This window comes from Homo sapiens, chromosome 5, assembly GCF_000001405.40.
Source record: "Homo sapiens chromosome 5, GRCh38.p14 Primary Assembly".
Classification (NCBI taxonomy): Eukaryota; Metazoa; Chordata; class Mammalia; order Primates; family Hominidae; genus Homo; species Homo sapiens.
Window position 1 is genome coordinate 78,831,094 of NC_000005.10, and position 17,946 is coordinate 78,849,039.

Sequence of the window (17,946 nt, forward strand, 5' to 3'; positions counted from 1 at the left end):
TGCCCCAATCGTAGCAGCCAGAATGTAATTGTTGTTCACTGTTGTTTGGACATATTTACAGGAGATATTGTTATAATCGTTCCCAACGTATAGGTGATGAAACAGATGGCTGGAAGAACTTACCCACAAGCTCACAGGAAATAAGTCAGAGCTGGTATTGAATAAAACCCAGGGCTTTCTGGCACCCCCAAACTCTACCTGTTTTACTAGGTGACACTGCCCACCCCACACACAGCTCCCTCATCCCCCCAGCACCCTCCAGTGGAGTGAATACAAGGCACTGACAGGGCTTCCATGACTAGCTCTACAAGCAGAAGCTACCACCATCTGCAGAGTCAGATTACATGTGAATCTAGCAAGGCTAATGTGACTACTCGACCCATTTTTCCAGCCTCCTTTAAATGAGTCATGTCCCATCAACATGCTATTATATAGGTGAGATGATCGTAACTCATATCTGGGTGCCCTTCTCCCACAAGACAAGGGTAGGACACAAAGCGATGAGACCTGCGAAATCAGTAGGACATGATGTACATGCCGGGTCTGAACAGCCCTGAGTTCCAGCTCTGATATTTAACAGCATGCATGACCTGGTGCCTCAGTTTCTTCACTTGGATTATAAAGAGTGAACAAACTGCCAAGGGGCCCTTAGCCTCTGGCATTCTATGCAATGCTGAGCAATCTGTAGCAGGGTGAGCCCCATGCATTCCCCCTAACTCTTGATTCTGCTTAATATCTAATTTCAGGCTGAAAGAAAGATGCCTCTGTGTCACTACTTCTCTAATAGACCCAAAAAGAAATAAAAATGCCTTGAAAATGATGTATGAAATTACTATTGTTCTCATTAGACTGATTCTAATCGAATCAGCTGATGATAAATTATTCATTTATTAGCGTGCATTCTTTCAATATGTATTAATCTCTTATACATAAGACACCGAGAGAACTATACAATGAAGCCTTGCTCTCCTTATAGCTCCGGATGGGGAAAACACGTGAATATAAATACTGCACTATGAGGCAGCAAGAGCTCACCGTCCTGGGAAGCTCCAGAGAAACTCAAGGGACTCAAGTTCAAAAGAATCAGAGAGGGCTTCACGGAGGAGTAGGAATGTGCACTGAACTCTACAGAAGGCGCAGGGCAACAAGGGAGATAAACAGGACTGAAGGAGGGCATTGCAATGGTGCTGAATGGTGGGCGTTGTAGGAGGGCTTGCTAGTGGACAGCTGGGAACCACCAACAGCCTTCCAGCAGGGTGGGGAGAGGCTGTGTCCATGCCCTCTTCCAGACTCTTCCAGACTGGGTTTTAGCCAGACCTTTAGGTTTGGCTTTAGCTTAACTGATCTCGAGTATTTATAACAGTACCTCATGCATCCCAGGCCATCATCGTTTATTTATTTACTGAATAAACAATCTTGGAAATGGCAACATAATACTGGGAAATGGCTCTGAATGTCGCTCTGAGGAGGAAACAGGGAGCAGCTCCAAGCATTCCAACCTGGACGACTCTTGGATCTCAAGCATGGATTTGGCAATTGCACCACAGAAAATGTGTGTGTGAGAGAGGAGAGGGTGGGAAGAAGGCTGTTCTTTCACCCTATAATCAGGAGCAGAAATAACATCTCATTAGAAACTTTAAAGAGAAGAGGGCCTTTAAATGAAATAGTAACAAAGCTGTATGGAATCACTTTGAAGAGCTGGCCTTTGGTGGGGTGGAAAATGCTAACATCTGTCACTGCCCTTCATCTATAATCAAGCTTCTACCAGCAGAATGTGTGTGTCTCCTGTGTGTGCGTACGTTTTAAATATATACACCTATGTTACATGATCGGATATGTGTGTTCCAGCCATCATAGAATGCCACGTCTGACTTCCAAAGTGAGTCGTGGTCTCAGATGGGGCAGGATCATTACTGCAGAACAGCCAAGATCAAGCCCGGCACCTGCAGGATAGGTGTATATGTTTTTCCTCAGGCAAAATAATGCCTTTGAAGCAGTTCTCCTTGTGGTCTGAGCCATGCTTGCTGGGGCCTTGCAGGAGTGTGGAATTTGGGGCTGGAGCTCTCCTTGGAACCATGTAGAGCTGAATTCAGACCTGCAGGACCTCTTGCCTACCCTGGGATTATGGCTGTTCCCCACCACTTTAGAGGTTTCCAGGCTTTCCCACTAATCAGCTTCAATGGTGCTATTCCCCAGGCTCTCTCACGGGTTTCTTACACTGACCACCCTGTGCTGCTGGACGAAGACAGAAGTATTTTAAAGACATGGAGGAATAAATAATTCTTAGGAGTTTTCTCAGAAGGGAACAAAGGAAAAGAGAAGGGTACTATCTGAACAGAGACCAAAGCACTTCCAAGGTTACTTCAGAACAAAGCCTTCAAAAATGAATAAAAAGTCTCCTCAAAGCACACAGGAAAGCAATTACATCCCACACTCTGACACAGGTCATGAAGCTGGGAGGCAGTGGAGGGAGGAAGGGGATAAAAGCAGAGCTAGGGTTGGGGCACTGAGATAACCAGTGAATGATGAAACAACCAGAGGGAACATCCCAGAAAACAGGAGCAGAACCGAACTCAGAACAGCAAGAAGAGGCAGAGCCCCAGACTCAGAGGGAAGTCAGGCCGAGCCAGGCCAGAGGCAAAGGCTTTATAAATCTCTATTTGTCTATTGAGGAGGTCTGGGAAAAGGGATGAAGTTGGGCAGGGAAATCCCACATCATCTTTTCTGGCCGATCTTTTCAATGCAGGGAGCGATGAGGGTGGGCACTTAGAAGCTGAATGAACAGTTTCAAACATCTGTATATAATGTCAATTACAACTTAATAAGTGACTTGTAGCTTCTAAGTTATTTTTACTTAGGCACAAAAGGTAGGTTTGGGGTTTAAAAGGAGTATAAGTGGCCATCTGGAGGTACTTTTAGGCTCAGGAAAGGCTGTAAGACAATAAAACAATGACTTTGACAGGTTGATCTGTTTATCATTCATTAGCAGATATTTACTGATATTAACCCAACAACTTACTACGATGTTAGGTTCTGTGCTACGGAGACCTTACTGTGCATATGGCAGTAAATGAAAAAGATAGAGACCCTATTCTCATGCAGTTTCTCTTCAGTTTTGGAAGGAGGGAAAGTTACGTTTTATTTATTTTTTATATTTTTAAATTGTGGTAAAATACAAACAACATAAAATTTACTATCCTAACCACTTTTAATTGTATGGTCCAGTGGCATTAAATACATTCACGTTGTTATGCTGTCATCATCACCATCCATCTCTACACCCACTCAACAATCATGCCCCATTCTCCCCTCCCCACAACCTCAGGCAACCACCATTCTATTTTCTGTCCCTATGAATCTGACCACTTTAGGTACCTCATGTAAGTGGAGTCATATAGTTTTTCCTTTTGTGACTTGCTTAGCATAATGTCTTTAAGGTTCATCCATGTTGTAGCATGTATTAGAATTTCTTTCACTGTTAGTGCTGGATACTATTTCATGGTATATATATGTGTATATATATATATATATATATATATATATATATATATATGCCACATTTTGTTTATTCATCCATTCACTGATGGACATTTGGGTTGCTACTACCTTTTGGCTGTTCTGAGTAATGCTGAGTAATGCTGCTACAAACATGAGTGTACAAATACCTGTTCAAGCCCCTGCTTTTAATTCTTTTAGGTATATACTCAGAAGTGGGATTGCTGGATCCTATGATAATTCTATTTTTAATATTTTGAGTAATCACACAATGTTATTGTCCATAGAGGCTACATTATTTTACTTTCCCATTAACAGTGAATAAGGGTTCCAATTTCTCTACATCCTCAACAATTCTTATTTTCCCCTCCCTCCCTCCCTCCCTTCCTTCCTTTTTCCACTCTCTCTCCTTTTCTTTCTTTCATTTTTTAAATTGTAGTCATCCTAATGGTATAATTTACGTATGCATCCTTGAGACTTTATGCTTTACTGCAGAATGGTGAATCTCCTGATCTATGAGAGATTTGGTGACCCCTGGTGTGTGTGCATGTTTCTCTATGAATGTGTACGTGTATCAATATTTTGTGCCGATCTTTGAGTATTTTTACTGTTAGTATCCAAGCCACAACCTACCATGTGCATGTGACCATGAAAAAAATCCTGACTCCACCAGCAGGATGGGCCTCTGGGCACCCTATAATTTGACTAGGGGAATGGGGTGTGTGTTGGCAGGGAGCGGGGGAGGTGTAGCTGCTGAAATCCAAGAGGCCAGCTTCTGGGAGCATGTGGTGCTAGGCAGAGGGCAGAAATCTCCTGGGAAGTGCGTAATGCCTATTCGTATGATTCACAATCAGAGGAGACATTGGTCAACAAACCCCAGGATGACCCACTAAGGGAAAGAGGAGATAGAAAAGCGGATCGATACGGTGATGTTTCGGAACGGAAATCAGAAAGGTGGCCAGGATATAGTAATAAGAAACTCATAAAATAATTCAAATTCCTCTAGTGCATATAATGTTTCTAGCATTTGCACTTGTGTTTATCTATTTATGATCATGCCTTTGGCAACATCACTGCTTATCAATGGACACACTCCTTCTAGCAGGCAGAAAAAGGAGAGAAGCAGAGTAAGCAGCTTTGCTCCTTTGAGGTCCCATTCATATAGAGACCCACAGAACACTGAAGCCAGAGGGACCTTGGAGATCATTTAATTCCTTCTTTACTCCACAGGTGAGGAAACTGACGAAGTGGCTTTAGGGAAGGTGGAGGTGGAACGCTACCTTCTTCTCCCGCAGTAAGCACCAACGATCTGGGAAGAGCTGGAGTGAGAAACCACAGAAATGCTTCTGTGATAACACTGACTCCATTGTTAACCCTCAGTTTACACCCGAGATTGGCTACTTCTGATTTAACTCCACAAAAGCCTCTGTGCTCTATGAATATGATATCCAGACTTGGCTGTCCCCTAAGTACATGTTTTTTTATAGCTGGATTTAATTTTTCCTCATAAATGAATTGCATAGAAAAGGAAACGGGCTTGTATCATCATCCTAAAAATGAGCAGGCACCCAAAGACAGCTCTTCTTGTTTCTTCTTCTGCCTCTCAGTAGAGTGAAGTGAATATAAAAACTGGGCAGAAAAGGCCCATGGGATTGCCATGTGTGAGGAGGTGGGTGGCACCTTGCTACCTGCAGGCACAGACAGCAGAGAACGCTGTGTGTGTGTGAAGCAACAGTGAATGTGGTTCTACATCCTTGCAAGAGCTGACAATGTCCTTCGTTATCTGCAGGAGTCAGAGCAGGAGTCCCAAGCTGGTGGGGAAGCCAACATGAAGGCCTGGGTGGGCTCCAGAGAGGGAAGGAAGAGCAGCAGAAGGCCAAAGAGGATGCCTAAATTTGTGGCGGCAGTACTGGGTCTTATAATTCTACCACATAATACATAGGAAACTGAGTCCAAGAGAAGTAAATGTCCTTACAGTCTATGGATGGCAAGATTAGGAAAATTTTCTATTCTAATTTCCATGCTCTTACCAACTTTTACTCTGGAGAAACCTTTTGCCTGTGCTGTTATTTTGCTAGGGCCCTTTAGGTAAGACAGGAGAAAGCACAGCAAGTTGCACCAAGAACCCTGCAGCACACAGTGCTGTGGTGATAGTGTATTCGTCCGTCCTTGCATTGTTATAAAGAACTACCTGAGACTAGGTATAAATAAGAGAGGTTTAATTGGTTCAGGGTTCCACAGGCTGTACAGGAATCATGGCTGGGGAGGCCTCAGGAACTTACAATCATGACAGAAGGTGAAGAGGAGGCAGGTATGTCCTACATGGCTGGAGCAGGAGGAAGAGAGCGAAGGGGGAGGTGCCACACACTTTCAAACAACCAGATCTCATGAGAACTCACTCACTATCACAAGAACAGCAAGGGGGAATCCATGCCTATGATCCAGTCACCTCCCGCCGGGCCCCTCCTCCAGCATGGGGGATTACAATTCGACATGACACTTGGGTGGGACACAAATCCCAACCATATCACATAGGAGTATAGTTCTCAAGCTCCTACTTCAAATGCCAAACCAAAATACAGCTTAGTGAGTGAGGGGTCTTAAGGTTTTTCATTTGTAGGTGGAATTTAGCAGGTGAAGACATTTACAACCATTATAATGTGGGTGGCATATTCCACATATCCCCTAGACCTAGGTTATACTGGGCTTTGCAGTGCATTAAATTACTCAGAAAGTTTTAAAGCCATTCCTGCCTCCCCACTATTCTCTTCCAGCCACCCTTAGAGACTTTGATATGACTGAAATGTATCTCTTAGGTGTACTGGGGTAGAGAAAAGTTTAGGAGTCATTGATGTAGCCTCACAGTAACTATTCACAGCTCTGTGATCAGCTCAGCTGATCAACTTACTTCCTAGCACCTTCTAGAAGGGGTTTTTAGGCCAATAGAAATATAATGCAAGTCACTTATGTAAGTTAATTAAAATTAAATTTTCTATTAGCCACATTAAGAAAGGAAGAGGAGAGAAGTAAAACACTAACAATATATTTAATTCAATATATCCAAAGTATTATCCTTTCAACAAATAATAAATCTATAATATTGTATGCATATAATACATAGGTGTACTAAGTCTTGAAAATCGGATGTATATATTCTACTCACAGCACATCTCAATCCACAGTTAGCCATATTTTAAGTACCTGACAGCCACATGTGGCCTGTGGCTACTATACTGGACAGCACAAATCTAGACTGTTCTTACAGTCCTTAGGGCTCAAACCTTGCCCTTGCCTCTCTCACTGACATGCGTTTACTCCAAAAGAAATAGAAATTTCTCCACGATGTAGCCATTCTCGCCTGTCTCAGGGCCCTTTCCTGTCCAGGTCTTAATGTGTCCACTTGGTCTTTATTGCATCTCAACTCTCCAATTGTCCACTGAGTCATCAAGTAATCATTACTGAGTGCCTAGCAAGCTCCCAGTATTTGTGTTAACTGACAAGGATAAAAAAATACAGGAGATGCTGACTTCCAGGAGCTCTCAGCTTGGAAATGCAGGCACAAACACGAACATGTGAGGGATGCTATACGGAGACACATGCACACAGGAAGGAGTGACTGCTCCTTCTGGGGCTCTGGAAAGCATTCACAGAGGGAGACATGGGGCTGGGTTTTTAAGGGATGAGAGAGATTATAGACAGGTAGGGAAAATGTGTTTCAGGCATAGGGAAAAGCATATTCATGACAGTACGATGATCTGCATGGAGATGACAAGTGTCTAGGAAGTGAGAACATGACAAGGAGTGCCTGGAGTGAGGCTGGCCGGGCAAGTGGGGCCCGAGTGCCTGGTGACACATTTAGAATGACTGTGGGGTAATTCTCTGAGCAGGAATCTCTGAATGAGAATATTTTGTGGTGAGCTATAATGCAGTTTGGAAAAAACAAAGAAGTAAGGAGAGCCTGAACTAAGTGGGCAGCAGTATGTCCAGAAAGGAGCGGATGGGAGCCCCCATGTGAATAAGGGAATATAAGGGCACTGTTTGCAAGATGAGCATTATGATGAAAGCTGGGCAAAGGGTCTAATTGCTAAGGCTTTCTATGCCCAAACTCACTATGCTGAGGGCATTAGGGCCACTCGCATGGTATTTATACAGGCCTATTACAGTCCGTTGTGATCTGGAAGCACTACATGCATGCCTGCCCTGAAGGAAATGGTAAGGCTCTTTACAGGTTAATTTAGGCAGGAGGCAGAATCAAGCGGAATCACTTCCAGGACTGCTAGGAAAGTCACACTTGTGACACCCAGCAGGTGTTGGGCAGTACCTGACCAGCCCAATCAGATAATGTGGTTGCTCACACTACCTGGAACCCAACTGTGGCTTATCTGACTGTGAGTTTTCTGGAAGGTGGCTCTGGAGCTCTCAGGTAAGAACAGGGCAGCAACATGACATCTACAGTGAGAAGGAGCCTCAGAGATGCCATGAGTTCTTCTTTTGTAAATGGGGAAGGCTGGGGCAGGGAGAGTTCAATGGCTTAAAGGCTAGTAAGCGGCAGAGCAAGAATAGAATTCACCTTTCTTATTTCATAAGCTGGTGTTGCTTTCACAGCACACTGCCCTCTGAGATGAGCGGGAGATATGTCCCGAAGAACTGTTTACCTTTATAGCAACTCAGGAAAAAAGAGAAAGCTAGGCTAGAGACACACTAGGTAATCAAACCATCTTGGTGGGCCAATTAGATTTAATCTAGTAGCAATGCACTGGTACTCACACGGTGAAGAGTCCACGAAGTTCGGGTCAATATTATGCAGCAGCTCAATTCTGGGGGATGGGCTTCCTTCACTGGAAAACAATTTTTAAGGGAATGTTAATTTCCTCTCTCTAATGGGCATGAATTATTTTAATACTTCCCTTCCTTGTACTTATAGGAAATAACAAACCTGCCAGTTAACAACTCTGTCATGAATTTGGAGGTCTCCACAATCACGGCTGGTGCATCTTCAAGCAGTCATCGTTTGTTTACATTGACCGAACCCTTTACATAAGAACTTCAGTGTCAAGCATATGAAGATATTTTAAAAAATGATTCTGGGACCCTTTGAAATAAATATTGTGGCCTTATTTAAACATGACCATTTTTTACACCAGAGAAATGAGAACTCAAGTCACCTCATATAGACTTCATACTGAACACTTACGAGTAAATGAAGAAACTGCATCTGCCAAAATGGTGGCACCAATATTACAGATGCAACATGCCTCTTAAAGAGTAACCTACATCAGAAAAATTAATGTCCTCCATGTCCAAATTTGCAACACGGATCTTAGATTTAATATAAATACATGAGAAATACCTAGATCTCTTTAAGGCTTTAAAAAATGTGTACACACAAATACAATCACAACCTACATTTGTGCTGAAAAGTGACTTGGAGATCGCTTAGTTCAACCCCCTCTTCTTACAAATGATGAAGGTACATAGTAAGTTATTGGTAGAATATTGGGTTGTGTGACTCTCAAAGCAGTGTTCTTAAGAAATTGGGAGCATAAACATCACCAGATGTATGTAGGGAGCACAATAGGCACCCAGGTCATTTTGCTAGTGTAGACTCAGCCTTACAGAAGTAGCTAAAAACAATTTAAATCATTGAGGGTGTACTGAGGACTCCCTGATAATCTAATACAGTTCAGCTAAGTACTAAAGGTTGCAAAGTACTGTTAACACCACAGGATTCATACATAATATAAATAATCAATAAGGCTCCTGACGTAACCAAGACATGGTTTCAGGTGTCCCAGTGTCCACACGCCAAACTCACAGTTAGCTGTTGATAGCAGTGGTTTGGGATTTCAATGCCCAATACAATTTCAAAAAATCTGGGTTGTGATTCACAACTTTGTATTTGCCAAGTAAGGAAATATAAAAACAAATCTTAATGAATTAATTTAAAACAAAACAAAATAACAAACTTCAACTACCATCACCATTATTTTATAAAATAAACAGCAAAAAAGGTAGGAAAGACACGATCTCTGAATAAATAACAGCTCCTTAAATTGAGCATATTTAACTTTGGTATTCTATCAGATGTCATTGTCCCCCTCTACTCCATAAATCACAGTGATCAGAGACAGTGGAAGAGAAACATTCAGGGGTGCCCACGGTCCTGGGACAGCAGCGGCAGCACTGCAGGGGTGGGGGTGGGGCATATTTCCCAGGACCTTTCTTTTCTCATTTTCTTTCGGAGACACTTAACTGCCTGAATATCCTGGAGACTATCAACCAGTCCAAAATGCCAGGAACTACGGTTTGATCCCAGAAGCTCTGAATGGAAGTAGAAATGATATGTAAAGAAAATGGTAAATATGAGAAAATCTAAATAGAATGATGATGATGTCTAATTTGTGGGCTTAAAACCAAACAAGTATGCCAGGTACAATGGCTCACGCCTATAATCCCAGCACTTTGGGAGGCTGAGATGGGAGGATCCCTTGAGGCCAGCCAGGAGTTTGAGACAAGCTTAGGCAACATACTGAGACCTGGTCTGTACTACTACTACTACTACTACTACTACTACTACTACTAATAATAATAATAATTTGAGCATGGTGGTGCATGCCTGTAGTCCCAGCAACACAGGAGGCTGAGGCAAGAGGATCCCTTGAGCCCAGGAGTTCAAGGCTGTAGTGAGCTATGATCACACCACTGCACTCCAGCCTAGATGACAAAGTGAGACTCTGTCTTAAAACAAACAAACAAATAAAACCAAGCAAACAGAGTTAAAATCCTGGAAAATAATAGCAAGCAAGGAAAGGAAATCAAATGAAAGCATTTTAAAGTATTTATATTGTTTGGAAGTGGGGTAAAGCTACTGATTAAATTTAGATTTAGCTAAGTAAAACTTTTGTGTTAAATTTTTAGGGCAACTATTAAAAATAAAGGCTTTTTCTGGACTATAGGTTGAAAACTCAAAAATTTCAGGGCCAGTATATTAATACATAACTACGCAGCTTTAAAAGTAGAGTTCACTGTAATACCCCAAAATATTAGGCACAATTAAATAAAAACATTTTCCTAATAACTTTAGAGAGAGTTTATATACATACTCTTCATTCATGTCATTTTTTTCATTATTCAGAAGAGTCACAGGTATTTTAAAATAAGTAAATTTAATACGATGAGATGATTTTTTGAAACCAAGCGTTGTGTATAATCCTAGTTGATTGTTAGGAAAAATCTTCATAGGCAGAATCATCATGATGCAAATAGGAGCCAACCCCTCCAACTATCTTAAGTATGTTGTCATTCTACTTTTAAAATGCACTCATCAGAATATTTTGATAAGGATGTGGTTAGAGATATGGGCCAAGAAAACACAATATATGACAAGTGATTGAAACAATGACCAAACACCATTAGGGACTTCCTGAGGGGGAGGTAGAGAGGGATTGTGGATTTCCGTTAATAGTTAACACTTTATTAACACAGATTCAAGTAATTATACCCTCCACCACCACACACACACACACACACACATCAACTTAAGAAGGCACAGAAACTGCATGGTTAATTTCAGTGCAGACAAGGGTACAGTGTACTGATACTGCAACCAAGAAGGTGGGTTCAAGTCACCTGGAGAAGACAATCTGGGGGCATGGGACAGAAACGGAGCTTGTCGGAAGGAGGGGAAGGGGTGGGTGATGAGAAGTCTCAAAGCTAACTCTGCAAGCCTCATAATTTTGCCTAGGAGATATTTCAGAGTCATAATTTTGAAAAGACCAGTAAATGGCAGAGACAATGGTCATTAGAGAGACATGGCCGATTGCTGGGGAGGAGAATCCTCAGGGCTGAATGCCATATATAGGAAGAGCATGCCCCAGACCCTGCGCAGGGCCCACTGTCTACTGAGGAGTTAAAATTTCCCCAGACCGAAGAAGCTGGACATGGGTACACAGCTTGGGAAGAAATGTTCACCACCATATTAATAAACTTTCTCTTTATAAATTCAAAGAAAGGGAAGTTCAGTAAATACCCATATGTTTTCAGCATTAAAGACCCTCTTAAGAACCCACAAATTCTTGGCCACTTAAATTTGAGTAGTCTCCAATAATCACATGAAAGATCCCTCTCTTGGATTTAGAAGGAAAATGCCTGGTGTGTGGTGAGTTTTCTGTTTTTGTTTTTGTTTTTTTCCCTTTTTTTTTTTTTAGAGAAAACGTTTTCCATTGTTGTCTCACTGCCATCCCTTCCTCACTCCTCTGGAAATTTTTGATATCAATAATCTCCACTTTCTTATGCATGTTCATCTATCCTTCTGTTAAAAACAAAATAAGAAAATTTTATTAACCATCTTATTTGCCATTAGGTATCTTGTTTTTTGCAGTACTCATTCTCAAACTTTGCTGTACATTAGAATTACCTGGGAAGCTTTTAAATCCCAGATGCACAGGCTGCATCTCATACCCGTAAGATCACTGGCGGTGGAACCCAAGCATTGGTACTTTTGGACTCTCCAGATGATTCCAATGTGCAGCCAAGCATGGGAACCGCTGCTCCTAAGCAGTGCTTCCCAAACCTTAATGTACATATGAATCATCTGGGGAGCTTGTTAAACTGTGGATCCTGATGTACTTGAACTGAATGGGGCCCAATAATCTGCATTTCTAACAGTTTCCCAGGTGACATTGATGCTGCTGGTCTCAGAACCACACTTGAGGTATCATGGTTTGAGGAAGCCTCCCGGAGTCCTTCCACATGGGATCTCAACTCTTTTGGAGTCTCTTAAATTAAAATCTTATTTGGATTAGGGCTGATTCAAACATAATGATTCTCAACCTTGGCTGCACAATACAATCACCTGAAGAACTCTTAAAAAATACTGATGCATGGGTTCAATCCCAGGAGACTGAGTTCTGAGTTTCAGCCTGGGCATAAAGATTTATAAAAGCACCCAAACTTAGCTTTATTGAAGTATAATTTTAAAACCATACAATCACCCATTTAAACTGCACAGTTAAATGTTTTTGGTATATTCACATGGTTGCACAATCATCAACAGTCTAATTTTAGAACATTTTTATCCTCCCAAAAGAAATACTGTACCCATTAGCAGTCATTCTTCATTTTCTACTTCACTCCCCTCCCCAGCCCTAGCCGATTGTTAATCTGTCTCTACAGATTTGCCTATTCTGGACATTTCATATAACTGGAACCACACAATACTTGGCCTTTTGTGGCTGGCTTCTTTCACTTAGCATAATGTTTTCAAGGATCATCAATGTGGTAGCATGCATCAAATATTTCATTCCTTTATATGGCTAAATAATATCCCATTGCTTGAAGATATCACATTTTCTTTATCCATTTACTTGGTTAGTATTTTGATTGTTTTCAATATTTGGCTATTATGAATAATCCTACTATGAACATTCATGTACAATTTTTTGTGTGGGCATTCGTTTTCATATCTCTTGGGTCTATAACTAGGAGTGGAATTGCCAGGTCATATGGTAACTCTACAACATTTTGAGGACTTGCCGAACAATTTTCCAAAGCAGCTACGCCATTTCACACTCTCACCAGGAATAAGTGCTTCAATTTCTCCACATCTTTGACAACACTTATTAATGTGTCTTTTTGAATGTAGCCATTCTAGTTGGTGTAAAGTGATATCTCATTGCGATTTGATTTGCATTTTCCTAATAATTAATGATGAGCATCTTTTCATGTATGTATTGGCCATTTATATATCCTCTTTGGAGAAATGTCTATTCAGATCATTTGCTCGTATTTTAATGGGGCTACTTGTCTTTTTATGATTGAGTTGCATGAATTCTTTATATATTCTATTTGCAAGTCCCTTATCTGATACATGATTTGCTAATATTTTCTCCTATTCTGTGGGTTGATTTTTCACTTCCTTGAGAATATCATTTTGAGAATAAAAGTTTGCATTTTGATGTAGTTCGACTTATGTATTTTCTCCTGTGTTGCTTTTATCTAAGAAACTACTGTCTGACCCAAGATCACAAAGCTTTACTCCTGAGTTTTCTTCTAAGAGTTTTATAGTTTTAATTCTTACATTTAGGTCTATGATCCATTTTAAGTTAATTTTTGTGTATGCTGTGAGGTAGAGATCCAACTTCATTATCTTCTTTTTTTATTATGTTTAATTGACATATAAATATACATATTTATGGGCTAGAGTATATTTCAATATATGTGTACAATGTGTAATGATAAGTCAGTGTAATTAGCATAACCATCACCTCAAATATTTATCATTTCTCTGTGTTGGGAACATTCAAAATTCACTCTTGTAACTTTTCAAAAATATACAATAAATTGTTGTTAATGATAGTCACCCTATAGTGCTATAGAGCACTAGACCTTATTCCTCCTATTTAATTGTACTTTTATATCCATTAACTAACCTTTGGCTATTCTCCTCTCCCCTACCCTTCCCACCCCTCAGGAAAAACACTACTCTACTCTTTGCTTCTATGAGATCAACGTTTTTTAGCTTCCATGTATGAGAACATGTGGTATTTATCTTTCTGTGCCTGGCTTATTTCACTTAACATAGTGACCTTCAGTTTCATCCATGTTACTGTGAATGACAGGATTTCATTTTGTTTTATGGCTAAAGAGTATTCCATTGTGTATATATACCATATTTTCTTCATTCACCCACTGATGGACCCTTAAGTTGATTCTATATCTTGGGTATTGTGAATAGTACTGCAATAAATATGGGAGTGCACATATCTCCTTGATATACTGATTTCATTTCCTTTGCATATATACCCAGTAGCGGGATTGCTGGATCATATGGTAGTTCTATTTTTAGTTTTTTGAGGAGCCTTCATATTGTTTTCCACAATGGCTAGACTAATTTGCATTCTCACCAGTGGTGGATAAGAGTACCCCTTTCTCTACAACCTCGCCAGGATCTGTTATTTTTTAACTTTTTGATAATGGCCATTCTAACCGGGTTGAGATCATATCTCATCGTGGTTTTAAATTTGCATTCTCTCATGATTAGTGATGTTGAGCATTTTTAAAAATAAATCTACTAGCCATTTGTATTTCTTATTTTGAGAGGTGTCTATTCAGCTCATTTACCCATTTTAAACTGGATTATTTGGGGGGTTTTTCTGTTGAATTGTTTCAGTTCCTTATATATTCTGGATATTAATCCTTTGTTGAATGAAGAGTTAGCAAATATTTTCTCCCATTATGCAGGCTGTCTATTTGCTCTGTTGATTGTTTCCTTTGCTGTGCAGGAGATTTTAGCTTGATATAATCCCATTTGTCTATTTTTGCTTTTGTTGCCTGTGCCTTTGAGGTCTTCTCCATAAAATCTTTGCCCAGACCAATGTTCTGAAGCATTTCTCCTATGTTTTCTTTCAGGAGTTTCATAGCTTCAGGTCTTATATTTAAGTCATTAACCCATTTTGAGTTGATTTTTATATATGGTGAGAGATACAGGTTTGGTTTCATTTTTATGCATGTGGATATCCAATTTTCCCAGCACCATTTATTGAAAAGACTGTCTCTTCCTCAATAAATGTTCTTGGTGCCTTTGTCAAGGATCAGTAGGCTATACATACACGAATTTATTTCTAGGTTCTCTATTTTGTTCCATTGGTATATGAATCTGTATTTTACACAAGTAACATGCTGTATTGGTTACTATACCTTTATAGTATCTTTTGAAACCTGGCAGTGTGATGCCTCCAACTTTGTTCTTTTCATTCAGGATTGCTTTGGCTATAGGGTCTTTTGTGGGTGCATGTAAATTTTAGGATTTTTTAATTTCTGTTGAGAATGTTATTGGTATTTAGATAGGGATTGCATTGACTCTGTAGATTGCTTTTGGTAGTAAGATCATTTTCACAATATTTATTCTTCAAATCTATGAATATGAGATATCTTTTCATTTTTTGTGTGTTCTCTTCTGCTAGCTTGTTGCTGGCATATAGAAATGCTACTGATTTCTGTATGTTGATTCTGTATCCTGCAACTTTACTGAATTTGTTTATCAGTTGTAAGAGTTTTTTGGTAGAGCTTTTAGGGTTTTCTGTATATATGATGATATCATCTGCAAATAGGGACAATTTGACATCCTCCTTTCCATTTTGGAGGTCCTTTATTTCTTTCTATTGCCTGATTGCTCTGGCTAGGACTTCCATTACTCTGTTGAACAAAAGTGGTAAAAGTGAGCATCGTTGTCTTGTTTCAGATGTTAGGGGAAAGGCTGTCAACTTTTTCCCATTCAGTGCGATGTTTGCTATGGGCTTATGATATATGGCCTTTATCGTGTTGAGCTGTGGTCCTTCTATAACTAATTAGTTGAGTGTTTTGATTATGAAGCGATGTTGAATTGTATCAAATCCTTTTTATGTATCTATTGAGATGGTCATGTGGTTTTTATACTTCATTCTGTTGATGTAATGTGTCATGTTTATGGATTTGTATATGTTGAACCATTCTTGCAACTTTGGGATAAATCCCACTTGATAATGGTGAATGATCTTTTAAATTTATTTTTATTTTTTGAGATGGGGTCTCATTTTGTTGCCCAGACTGGAGTACAGTGGCTTGATCATGGCTCATTGCAGTCTCAATCTCCCAGACTCAAGCAATCCTCCCACCTCAGCCTCCCTAGTACCTGGGCTATAGGAGCATGCCACCATGCCTGGCTAATTTTTAAATTTTTTGCAGAAATGGGATCTCCCTCTGCTGCCCAGGCTGGTCTTGAACTCCTAGGTTCAAGTGATCCTCCTGCCTTGGCCTCCCAAAGCCCTGAGATTACAGGCATGAGACACCACACCTGGCTGTGAACGATCTTTTTAATGTGTTGCTGGATTCAGTTTGCTAGCATTTTGTTGAGGCTTTGTGTGTCTATGTTCATTGGGGATACTGGCCTAAAGTTTTCTTTTCTTGTTGTATCTCTGTCTAGTTTTGGTATCAACATAATGCTGGTCTTGTGGAATAAGTTTAGAAGAATTCCCTCCTCTTCAATTTTCTGGAAGAGTTTGAGAAGAATTTTTATTAGTTCTTTAAATGTTTTGTAGAATTCTGCAATGAGGTCATCAGGTCCTGGGCTTCTCTTCAATGGGAGACTTTTTATTACAAGATTCAATCTCATTACTTATAATTGGTCTATTCAGGTTTTCTATTTCTTCTTGGTTCAATCATGGCACATTGCATGTATACATGAATTTATCCATTTCCACTAGATTTTCTAATTTGTTGGCATATAGTTGTTCATAATAGTCTCTCATGATCACTTGTATTTCTATGGTATCAGTTGCAATGTCTCCTTTTTTGTTGGTGATTTTATTTGGACCATTTACATTCTTGATTCATCTAGCTAATTATTTGTCAGTTTTGTTAATCGTTTCAAAAACCAACTTTTAATTTCATCGATCTTTTGTATTATTTTTTAGCGTGAATTTTTTTATTTTATTATTATTATTATTTTATTATTATTATACTTTAAGTTTTAGGGTACATGTGCACAATGTGCAGGTTAGTTACATATGTATACATGTGCCATGCTGTTGTGCTGCACCCATTAACTCGTCATTTAGCATTAGGTATATCTCCTAATGCTATCCTCCCCCCTCCCCCCACCCCACAACACTCCCCAGAGTGTGATGTTCCCCTTCCTGTGTCCATGAGTTCTCATTGTTCAATTCCCACCTATGAGTGAGAACATGCGGTGTTTGGTTTTTTGTCCTTGCGATAGTTTACTGAGAATGATTTCCAATTTCATCCATGTCCGTACAAAGGACATGAACTCATCATTTTTTATGGCTGCATAGTATTCCATGGTGTATATGTGCCACATTTTCTTAATCCAGTCTATCATTGTTGGACGTTTGGGTTGGTTCCAAGTCTTTGCTATTGTGAATAGTGCCGCAATAAACATACGTGTGCATGTGTCTTTATAGCAGCATGATTTATAGTCCTTTGGGTATATACCCCGTAATGGGATGGCTGGGTCAAATGGTATTTCTAGTCTAGTTCTAGATCCCTGAGGAATCATCACACTGACTTCCACAATGGTTGAACTAGTTTACAGTCCCACCAACAGTGCAAAAGTATTTCTATTTCTCCACATCCTCTCTAGCACCTGTTGTTTCCTGACTTTTTAATGATTGCCATTCTAACTGGTGTGAGACGGTATCTCATTGTGGTTTTGATTTGCATTTCTCTGATGGCCAGTAATGATGAGCATTTTTTCACGTGTCTTTTGGCTGCATAAATGTCTTCTTTTGAGAAGCGTCTGTTCATATCCTTTGCCCACTTGTTGATGGCGTTGTTTTTTCTCGTAAATTTGTTTGAGTTCATTGTAGATTCTGGATATTAGCCCTTTGTCAGATGAGTAGATTGCAAAAATTTTCTCCCATTCTGAAGGTTGCCTGTTCACTTTGATGGTAGTTT

General features: G+C 40.0%; 1 protein-coding gene across 8 annotated transcripts in view, besides 1 other annotated feature; it reads right to left on the reverse strand.

The window, feature by feature from the left end:
* ARSB (arylsulfatase B) overlaps window positions 1–17,946 on the reverse strand; it is a 208,750-nt gene that overhangs the window by 53,885 nt on the left and 136,919 nt on the right. For 6 of the 8 annotated variants that reach the window (XR_001742066.3, XR_001742065.3, XM_011543390.2 and 3 more), the window contains one exon: window positions 8,263–8,333. Coding sequence is in view for 6 of the 8 variants with exons in the window: in XM_011543390.2 (XP_011541692.1) it covers window positions 8,263–8,333 (71 nt within the window). In the remaining 2 variants the exon portion in view is untranslated. Of the gene's footprint in view, window positions 1–1,374; window positions 1,599–4,687; window positions 4,815–8,262; window positions 8,334–17,946 lie in introns of those variants that run through there. The other 2 variants (XM_011543392.4, XM_011543391.4) reach the window with 2 other exon arrangements.
* Window positions 10,733–11,027: a silencer, noted in NCBI's record as "tiled region #14877; HepG2 Repressive non-DNase unmatched - State 16:ElonW". NCBI's record gives its function as "represses a minimal TATA promoter and a strong SV40 promoter by Sharpr-MPRA in HepG2 cells {active_cell/tissue: HepG2}" and the evidence as "EXISTENCE:reporter gene assay evidence [ECO:0000049][PMID:27701403]".